Here is an 11,517-nt window from a genome sequence, read left to right on the forward strand (position 1 = left end):
CAGTGGAACCCCGTCTCTACTAAAAATACAAAAACAAAATTAGGTGGGCGCCTGTAGTCCCAGCTATTTTGGAGGCTGAGGCGGGAGAATGGCATGAACCCGGGAGGTGGAGCTTGCAGTGAGCCAAGATTGCGCCACTGCACTCCAGCCTGGGTGACAGAGCGAGACCCCATCTCAAAAAAAAAAGTACTGTTGGTAGATCTGGATTGGTGGCTACAAAAAAAATCTTGTTGGGATTTTTATAGGAATTGCATTAAACTTTTATATCAACTTGGGGAGAATTGACATATTTGCTACATTGGGTCTTCCAGTCCATGAACACAATATCTCTCACCATTTATCTAGATCTTCTTTGACTTGTTTCATCAGCACTTTGTAGCTTTCAGCACACACATCATGTGTGTGTTTTGTTAGATTTATACCTAAGTATTTCACTGTTTTTTGAGTGATTGTAAATGGTATTTAAAATTTCTGTGTCTGCTACAAGTATATAGAAATGCAGTTGATTTTTTGTGTATTTATCTTGGGTCCTACTTTTTGCTAAACTCACTCATTAGTCCTATGAGTTTTTTGTAGATTCTTTAGGATTTTCTATGGAGACCATCATGTCATCTGCAAATTGGGACAGTTCTATTTTCTTCCTTTCTGATGTGTATGCCTGTAATCCCCCCCCCTTTTTTTTTTTTGCCTTAGAGCACTGACTAAAACTTTAGTACTATGTTGAATAAGAGTGGTAATAGCAGACATCCTTGCCTTGTTTCCAGTCTTGGAGGGAAAACATTCAGTCTTTCACCATTAAATATAATGTTAGCTATAGGTTTTTGGTAGATGCTTTTTATCAAGCTGAGGAAGTTCTCCCTTTACTACCATTTTTTTCAGAGTTTTTATCATGAATGGTGTTGAAATTTGAGAAAACTTTTTTTGTACTGATTGATAGAATCATGGTTTTTCTTTAGCCCATTAATGTGTACATTACATTGACTGATTTTTGAATGATGACTAGCTTTGCATAGCTGGAATAAATCCCAGCTGTATAAATCTTTTACTACTTTGTTGCATTTGATTTGCAAATATTTTGTTAAGGATTTTTTGCATCTAAGTTTATGAGGGATATTGCCTGTAGTTTTCTTTCTTTTGTACTTCTTTGCCTGATTTGAGTAGAAGGGAAATACTAGTTTCATTAGATGAATTTTTAAATCTTCAACTTTTAAGTTCAGGGGTACGTGTGCAAGATGTGCAGGTTTGTTACATGGGTAAAATTGTGCCATGGTGGTTTGCTGCACAGATCATTCCATAACCTGGGTATTAAGCCCAGCATCCATTAGCTGTTCTTCCTGATGCTCTCCGTCTCCCCACTCCACCCCTGATAGGCCCTGGTGTGTGTTGTTCCCCCACCCCATGTGTCCATGTGTTCTCATCATTCAGCTCCCTCTTGTAAGTGAGAACATGTGGTGTATGGTTTTCTGTTTCTGCGTTAGTTTGCTGAGGATAATGGCTTCCAGCTCCATCCATGTCCCTGCAAAGGACATGATCTGGTTCCTTTTTATTGCTGCATAGTATTCCATAATGTATATGTACCGCATTTTCTTTATCCAGTCTATCATTGATGGGCATTTGGATTGATTCCACGTCTTTGCTATTGTGAATAGTGCAAATGAACATACATGTGCATGTATCTTTATAATATAATAATTCATATTCCTTTGGGTACATACCCAGTAATGGGATTGCTGGGTCAAATGGTATTTCTGCCTCTAGGTCTTTGAAGAATCACCATACTGTCTTCTACAGTGGTTGACCTAATTAACATTCCCACCAACAGTATAAAAGTGTTCCTTTTTCTCTGCAACCTCGCCAGCATCTGTTATTTTTTGACCTTTTAATAATCACCATTCTGACTGGCATGAGATGGTGTCTCATTGTGGTTTTGATTTACATTTCTCTGATGATTAGTGATGTTGAGCTTCCCCCACCCCCCATTTATTTATTTATTTAAGAGACAGGTTCTCACTATGTTGCCCAGGCTGGTCTTAAACACCTGGCCTCAAGCTATGGGCACTTTAAAAGAACGTGTATTCTGCTGTTCTTGGATGCAGTGTTCTATAAATGTTAATTAGAATCAGTGGTTAATGATGTTGGTGAGTTGCTCTATATCCTTGCTGATTTTCTGTCTCATTGTTCTACTGGTTGTTGAGAGAGGGGTGTTGAAGTCTCCAACTGTTGTGGATTTATGTATTTCACCTTTGGATTCTATAAGTTTTTGCTTCACATATGCGTCTCTGTTGTTTGATACATACACATTTATGATTGCTATGTCTTCCTGGTGAATTGACCCTTTTATTATTATATAGTGTCCTTCTCCATCTCTAATAATTTTCTTTCCCCTCAAGCTTACTTAATCTGATAATATTGTAGTCACTCTGCTTTCCCTTGGTTAGTTTTGCATGATATATCCCTTTTTACCCTCTTACTTTCAACCTGCCTTTGTTGTTATACAGTCACATACCAGATAATGATGTTTTGGTCAACAACAGACCACATGTATGATGGTGGTCCAATAAGATTATAATGGAGCTGAAAAATTTATGTTGCCTAGTGACAACCTGATGATTCTGATGCTGTGTAGGCCTAAGCTACTATGTGTATGTCTTAGTTTTAACTAAAAAATTTTAAAAATTTTTAAAAAATAAAAAATTTAAAAATAGAAAAAAGCTTATAGAATAAGGATATAAAGAAAGAAAATATTTTTATACAAGTATACAGTGTGTGCTTTAGGCCATTATAAAAGAGTCAAAAAGTTTAAATATTTAAATGTTTATAAAATAAAAATGTTACAGTAAGTTAAGGTTAACTTGTTTTTGAAGAAAGAAATATTTTAAAGGTAGTGTAACCTAAGTGTGCAATGTTCACACCTACAGTAGTGTGCAACAATGTTTTAGGCCTTCACATTCACTCACTGTTCACACACAGACTCATCCACGACAACTTCCAGCCATGTTAAGTGCCCTATATACCACATTTTTACTCTCCCTTTACTATGTTTTGATATGTTTAGATACACAGATACTTACCATTGTTTTACAGTTTTGATGGTAGTGTAAAATGTTTACATTGTTTTGATGGTAGTGTAAAATGGCACAAACACTTTCAGAAATGATCTGGCATTTCTTATAAAACTAAATATACACTGACCCTATAATTTAGTTTTAATCCTAGGAATTTACTCACAGTAAATGAAAACACTTATACCACAAAAACGTTTGTATGACAATGTTCACTGCAAATTTATTACTAATACCCTAAACTGGAAACTGCTGAAGTATCAATAAAATAATGGATATACAGTGGTATTTTCATGAAATGGAATATTACTTAGCAATTAAAATGGACAAATTATGAGTTTCATAGTGTGTGGCTCACAACAGTCTCAAGTACTATGACTAAGCTAAGCACTTCATGAATTTTATCTTACTGAATCCTTCTAGCCTTATGAGATAATCGCTATTATTATTGACAAGTGCTTTGTGTTTATTTTCTTAACTTTTACTACCTTCTGAGGTAGCATCCTCACACACACTGGTGTACAGAAATACAATTTAATTCTGATGCTGACCACCCAGTGTTGGCATTGGACTCCACAGGTTTAATGGCACAATCCCCAGTAAAACTATTTTCACTTCAGATGCCAGCTGCATTTTGGGGGGTCCCTAAGCCACCTGTGCTTTTGACCCACTGGCTGTAAATTCAAAGTTTCACATGACCCCCTAAGGTACAATAATTTTCTAGAATGACTCACAGAACTCAGGAAAGCACTAATGATACAAATCAGGACCAGCTAAATGAAGATCCACATGGGTGGAGTCTGGGAGGGTTCTGAATGGAGAGCATTCATGACCTCTCCCCATGGCATTACCCTCCTAGCACATTGATGTGTTCACCACCTGGGAAGCTCTACTGAGCTTTGGTGTTCAGAGTTTTTATTGGGGTCTCATTACATAGGCATGATTGGATCATTGGTCACATGACTGGACTCAATCTTCAGTCCTCCTCCTCTCCTAGGAGATTGACCCAACCCTCTAATTACATTGTTGGTCTTTCTGGTGACCATCCTCACCCTGTGTCATCTCATCAGTTAGCATAAACTCAGGTGTAATCTAAGGAGCTCATAAATAACAAAGACACTCCTGCTACTTAGGAAGTTCTAAGGGTTTAAAGTCTCTTTACCAGAAACCAGGGACAAAGGCCAGTCAAGTTATTTATTACACAATAGGTAGGCACTATTATTATTATTTTATTTAATAGAGACAGGGGGCTGGGCACAGTGGCTCACATCTGTAATCCCAGCACTTTGGGAGGCCAAGGTGGGTGGGGATCACTTGAGGTCAGGAGTTCGAGACCAGCCTGGCCAACATGGTAAAACCCCATCTCTACCAAAAATATAAAAAATCAGCTGGGTGTGGTGACGCACACCTGTAATCCCAGCTACTTGGGAGGCTGAGGCAAGAGAATCACTTGAACCTGGGAGGTGGAGGTTGCAGTGAACCAAAATTGTGCCACTGCACTCCATCCTGGGTGACAGAGCGACACTCCATCTCAAAAAAAAAAAAAAAAAAAAAATAGAGACAGGGTCTCGCTATATTGGCCAGGCTGGCCTCAAACTCCTGACCTCAACCAATTCTCCCACTGCAGCCTCCCTAAATGTTGGAATTACAAATGTGAGCCATCATGTCTGGCCAGTAGGTAGGTGTTATTATTGTCCTCATTTTAGAGGTAAGTAGGGACCTATATTGATTGCTCAAAGTTACACAGTAACTAACAGAATTAGGACTGGAACCTAGGTATGTCTGAATACAGTCTTGCTATTCTCTACTATATATATATTGTCTGAAAGTTATTGCCACATGCTATTTATTGAATGAATAAATTGACAGGAAAAGATCACAGGTGATTCTGAAATTTCTACCTTGTGGGAACTGAGAATGATCAAGGCCCTTTTGAGAATTTCATTGATGCTAGATACATTTATATTTGTAGATCCTATCCCATATTAAAGTCTGTCTGTATCCCACATCAAGTATTATTTTTTTTGCTGAAAAAAATATTGAAAGGATTTAAAAATTTTTTTCTTTAGAAATCATTTGGCTACATGCACTCTAGTCATTATAGGATTTGATTTCATGGCAATTGCAGTGCATGGGTGGAATGTTTCCAAAGTGAGAAACATGAACTTACAAATTATTTTCAAATGTAATAAAATGTTTATAAATACCAGTGTATTACTTCAGTACAGCCTAAGCTGCTATAACAAAGAGACTTCTTAGTACAGTGAGAGTACAGGGCTGGTACACAGGCTTCCACCTCAGCATCCACTCCAGCTCTTGCCTTAAGGTCTGCATCACAGGGACAAAGCAGCCACATTGACAATGACAAACAGCATCCTTTGCACAGACTGCAGTGCTAATGTGCCCCCTGGAGTTGTCCATAGTAGTAGCTCTCACAAGTGTGTAGGGAGAAAGATGAAGAGCTCATCCCCTACTGCACAACCAGAAGTGGCAGGTATCACTTGTACTCACTTCCCATGTTCAGAACTTAAGTCACATGACCACATCTAGCTTCAAAAGAGTCTGGAAGTATAGTCTTTTACTAAGTGACCCTTGCACCTACCTAAAACCTAGTTCTACTTATAAAGGAAGAAGGGGATATATAGTAGTCACTATCATAATTAAATTGCATAAACAAGTAATGAAATCGGTATAAATTTATGTTGGTAGACATTTAATTGAAAGTTTATTGCTTTTGACTTTATAGTTTTCTGTATTTTAGTTGTGTTTAAAAAAAAAAGTGGGAGGGTTGTTCTTAAACATTTTTTTTTTAGGCCCTTGAAAAGTCTGTCAGCTCCAAGTGCTGTGTCTAATGGATACAAAATCTCTGTGGATCATGAGGCCACTAACCAGAGAAGGAATGCAGGGCGGCTGTGATTGCTCTCTGCTTGGTCCCCTTTCTGGGTAGGAAGGCAGCCCTTATGAAGCGGGTAGGCTAGATTCAGTATGCAATTTGTGGGGCTAAGGGAGTGTGGACACTCAAACAAATATTAACTGATCCTTATGTAGCTGGGGTTATAGTCCGTGGGGCTGAGGGTGGGACAGGAAGCAGGGAGAGGAGGGGAGAAGGGAATAACAACTAGAATGAGACTCAGGGCCAAGAAATTGGTAAGGAAGACAAAATAACATGAACAAACATGCACAATGATAGGTTTCAGAGCAGATTATGAAAGTCATTGTGAGTCATCGGTGGTAGTACTGTTGTTTAAAAAGAAACAGTGTCTGCCAGGCGCAGTGGCTCATGCCTGTAATCCCAGCACTTTGGGAGGCTGAGACGGGCGGATCACGAGTTCAGGCGATCGAGACCATCCTGGCTAACACGGTGAAACCCTGTCTCTACTAAAAATACAAAAAATTAGCCAGCCTGGTGGCGGGCGCCTGTAGTCCCAGCTACTCAGAAGGCTGAGGCAGGAAAATGGCGTGAACCCGGGAGGCGGAGCTTGCAGTGAGCCGAGATCACGCCACTGCACTCCAGCCTGGGCCACAGAGCAAGACTGTCTCAAAAAAAAAAAAAAAAAAAGAAAGAAAGAAACAGTGTCTAGATAACGCTGGGCTCTGAAGGAAACAGAGGTTGGATTACACAAGGTCCTGCCTGAGGACATCTACAGTTTATAAATAAATATGTCCAAAGTGGGGAAAGTAACTCAAATGACCTGTTTCCTATAGAAAATGCTCCAGCCCGAGAACTGTCCTGACATGAAGTAGGAGCCATTAGCAGGGAGGCCGGAAATCTAGGTTTATGTTCGGCCTCTATCACTATTTGAGAATGTGAGCTCCTTTGGAGTAGGTAATGCATAGTTTCATCTTTGGATCCTCACCTAGCCTAGTGCCTGGCACTTACTAAGTTCTTAGTAAATTCTTACAGAATCAATGAACAATTTGTTAAATAACTTGCTGTGTATCCTTGAACTGAGACGTTTTACCAGGGGTCTTAAACCTAAAAGGAAACAGTGGGTCAAGGTGGCGTCCAGGTCCCTAGTGACCTCAAATTTTCAGGATATGAGGACTGATATTTGGCTACTGTCACACTAAGAAGTGCACCTCATAGCATGCAAAATCCAATCTGAACTCAACCCACACGTCTCAGCTCAAAGACTGCCTCCTCCACAATGCCTCCCCTACCCCTTCCCTCAACAAATTGTGCCTCTGCTGACACTCTTCTACCTTGGTTATTCTCAGTTGAATTCATTACCTTTCCTTACCCCCTCAGGCCTGTGACCTGAGAACACAGAGTAAAAGCTAACACTTAGGTAGAATTTACCATGTGTCAGGTGCTCTAAAGGGCTTAAAATCGTCAGTGCATTTAATATCTTGATGCACCAGAAAGTAGGTGCTTTGATTATCCTCATTTCAGACATGAGAAAACTGAGGTACAGAGTGAGTAACTTTCTTACCATTAGGCTGGTAGTGAGTGGCAGGGACAAGATTCAAATCTGGGTAATAAGTCTACAGAGTCCTTAACTAGTTCCCTGTCTTGTTCAACTTTAAATACCCCATAATAAACATCCCATGGTCAGCCCATAGTAGGTGTGCAGTAAATGTTTGCCAAATAAATGAATAAGCAAATGCAGTAAACTAGGAAGCGGGGTATCAGAAGGGCATGGAGTTTCCCTGAATACCCATGTGCCTGTTGGGCCTCTCGGGCCTCTCAAACCTTTCCCCAACATGTTGAGTTAGTTTGTTGGTCCATCCATCCACTCACTTGTCCATCCATCCATTCAATGAATAGTTACTGTCCTAACCCACCTCCCCACCATCCCACATTGGGACCAGGGATACAAAACTGAATTGGCACAGACAGAGATGGACTTATTCACAGTCAATGGCAGTCCAGCATCACATAAGCTACACAGAAGACAGAGCCACTAACTCTGCCCAGGCAGGGTCAGAGAACACTTTTTAGTCTATGGGACAGAGATTCGATCTGGGTTTTAAAAAATCTGTCTCCAGGTCCCTGGTAGGCCAGGGTCCTCCCTGACCCCAGCCCATATAGCTGGAGACAGAACAGCCTGTCCTTCCAGCTGCTGGCTGCAAACTTGCCTTGGGGAGTCCATGGCTCTGTCCATGGTCTGAATCCTGGTGCTCTTGTTGGCTGCCATGCCCCTAGATTGAGCCATATGCTTTGGACCCTGGTTCTGAGTGTTGACCCTGAGCCTTTAGTGCCAGGCTCACAGCCAAGCATAGCCCACTTGCCAGATCCTTTCAGGTCTCTCCCTTTTAGCTGGGGGTGCGAGGGGCGGGGTGAGGGTGGGAGGACGTATGGCATATCCCTAGGCATGTGCTAAGATACAGACCTGGGACCTCTCAGTTACATGATTGCCAGTTTCATTGACCCCTTCCTCAGCCTCTAAGGAAATTCAGGCCAGACTAAGAAAGGACTCAGGCTGGAGCAGGTCCCTGAGGGCTCAGCCACACTTGTGTATACTCTGCCTGTCAGAGCTGGCCTGGCCACAGATATCATCTAGGTCCCTGCCTACCCTGAAGCTCTGGAATGGGCATACATTGAAGGAGGCAGACCTGGACTTCAGGGCTCTTGATCCCAGTCTGACGTTCGTTCCACTACAAAAAGGGGGTCTGGAATTCATTTTCAGTAATGAAGGCTTTCTCCATGAAATCTTAACCATTATATAAAGCAGAACAGGTCTGCCTGAAGCGAGTTAGGGCATCTAAAAGATCACCATCTTGGCCTCTGCCTTCCTGTCTCAGCCTTTAAGTCACTTCTAATAAACCTGTCTTATTTTTTACCGTTAGATCTCAACAGGGGAAGTTGGTCCAGTGAGGTCCTAAGCCCATGCAGAAGTGGCAGCTACTTCCCTCCAGCCTGTTTCACCCACTTCCTTCACCTTCCTCACTACAGCCAGAGACCTTTAAAAAACCCAGGTGTGTCTTTGCTACCCTCCAGTTTAAAAACATCCATTTGGCAGGGCTTGGTGGCTCATTCCTTTAATCCCAGTGCTTTGAGAGGCTTAAGGTGGGAGGATTGCTTGAAGCTAGGATTTCGAGACCAGCCTGGGCAGCATAGTGAGACCCTGTCTCTACAAAATTTTTTTTTAAATTAGCCAGGTGTGGTGGTATATGCCTGTAGTTCCAGCTACTTGGGAGGCTGAGGTGAGAAGATCACTTAAGCCCAGGAATTCGAGGCTGCAGTGAGCCATCACTACATCACTGCATTCCAGCCTGAGTGACAGAGCAAGACCCTATCTCAAATAAACACCAGAAATAAACAAATTCATTTATCCAACAATATTTACACAAGGACTATTATATTCATTGTACTTCTAGCTCCTTTCATTGTGGCAGGAATTGAAGTAGGAGCTAGAAGTGCAATGATTATAACAGTCCTTGCCTGTTTGTGGTGGTAGGGGAGCCAACAAACCTGGTGACAATAAAATAAATTACTAGACAGAGTCTGGTGATAGAGCCTAAAACAGGAGCGTGGTCTGAGGAGGCTGAAGGACAAACCAGTGCCATCCAGGAGAAAACCATTCAGCCAGAGAGAAGAGCCCATGTTAAGGTTTAGGGTGGCAGCTTTAGGAAAACAGAAGGCTCAGTGATGGTGCTGTGAAATGAGGCCAGAGAGATGCACAGAGGCCAGGTCATGGAACACCCTAAAAATCACTTCCAGGTTGTTGGTCTGCATCTTAAAGAGCAAAGGGAATGCAATTGAATGGTTTTAAATAAGATAGTGACACAATGCCATTTTTGTTTTAAGATCAAGCTGGTTGTTATGTGGAGAACAGGCTTGAGGAAGGCAAGAGTAAAGGCAGAGAGGCCTATTAAGAAGACATTGTTGGCTGGGCATGGTGGCTTATGTATGTATAATCCCAGCACTTTGGGAGGTGGAGGCGAGAGGATCGCCTGAGCCCAGGAGTTCGAGACCAGCCTGGGCAACATAGTGGAACCCCATCTCTACAAAAAATAAAGGTAAAAAACCAGCCAGGTGTGATGGTGCATGCCTGTGGTCCCAACTACTTGGGAAGCTGAGGCAAGAGGATCTCTTGAGTCCAAGAGGTTGAGGCTGCAGTGAACTGTGTTCACACCACAGAACTATAGCCTGGGGCAACATAACAAGACCTTGTCTCAAAAAAAAAAAAAAAAAAAAAAAAAGATTGTTATAGTCCAAGTGAGAGATGACATTGAGAAGTTGTGCTAAGTATGGGTACTGTGTGTTCCATACACCTAACACTCCTTCTTCCAACCTTCAGGCCCCAGGGAAACACTTTCCCACATATCTTGCCCTACATCCTCAAAACAAAAAATCATGTATTTTACATAGAGTAAAATGCTCACATGTAAGTGCCTAGTTTGAGGAGCTTGCACAAGTGTATACACCTCTGTAACCACCACCCATTCAAGCATGGGTAGAGACCATTTCCATCATTTCCACCACATGACTGTGTCTAAAGTTCTGTGGGTTGTGCTGCTGTTCACACCAGAAACAGCCACTGCTCTCGAGTAAGGAAAGCAAGTGAGTGGCAGAAGCTCTTGGGTAAGAAAAGCACACATCAATTAATCCTGTGAAGTCTTTTCTCTCACATAACATGAATGCCTAATGGGGTATCATTTTCCAGAAAAGCATTGTCCATTTTCTTGCTTCTTTTTGTGTTCCGATTTGTAGTTTTGGAGGAATTCAGGAATGGCTTACTATTTGCAATAGTTGCATGTGGCAGCTCATTAATATTAAACAATATTAAACAACTCATACTACTCTAATATTGTAGTGTAGGTAGGTCTAGTTGTAGACCTACATATACATGATATTGATTCTTTATGGACTTAGCTACTGTGTTAAGGAATGATGAAAATTATTATATGAGTGGTAGTGATTTATATGATGAAATAAAAATAGAATGTATTATACGTATTTACCATTTTATAAATCTATTTTAACATATAAATATAGTTTGTATTGTGTAATTATGTGTTCCTATATTTGACCATAATATATAAAATTCATGCTACTTTTAAAATCTAATGTTACTTTAAGATTTTTATTGACAATCCCTGTTGCTACTGCCTTAGCAGAGCAAACTTTTTCCAAATTGAAATCAATGCCAAAAAAAAACCTCTAAAACTTACAGTGTCCCAATAAAGGTTATTTTGTTTTTGACCTTATTGTCCAAAACTTATGAAATATATAATTATTGATGAACCATATATTCCCTTTTACTCATATATTCCTGTCCATGAGCCATTCCTTTCCATGACATCCATTAAATTCAGTCATCTTTGATATTTTGCTTACTTTCAATAAAAAGTACCATAGAAGTTGGTGCAAGGTGGAAGACTAGAAGGTCCCACCAATTGTCCTCCCTGCAGGAACAAGAAATTCAACAACTATCTACACAAAAAACCACCTTCACTAGAACCAAAAATCAGGTGAGCACTCAAAATACCTGGTTTTACTTCATATCAT

General features: G+C 40.8%; 1 long non-coding RNA gene across 1 annotated transcript; it reads left to right on the forward strand.

The window, feature by feature from the left end:
- Nucleotides 1-8,311: 8,311 nt before the first annotated feature.
- On the forward strand, nt 8,312-11,211 carry LOC124902712 (uncharacterized). Its single transcript, XR_007062776.1, has 2 exons — nt 8,312-8,981; nt 9,814-11,211. It is a non-coding gene; the product is annotated as an uncharacterized LOC124902712 (long non-coding RNA).
- Nucleotides 11,212-11,517: the final 306 nt, after the last annotated feature.

Source organism: Homo sapiens, chromosome 11 (genome assembly GCF_000001405.40).
Source record: "Homo sapiens chromosome 11, GRCh38.p14 Primary Assembly".
Classification (NCBI taxonomy): domain Eukaryota; kingdom Metazoa; phylum Chordata; class Mammalia; order Primates; family Hominidae; genus Homo; species Homo sapiens.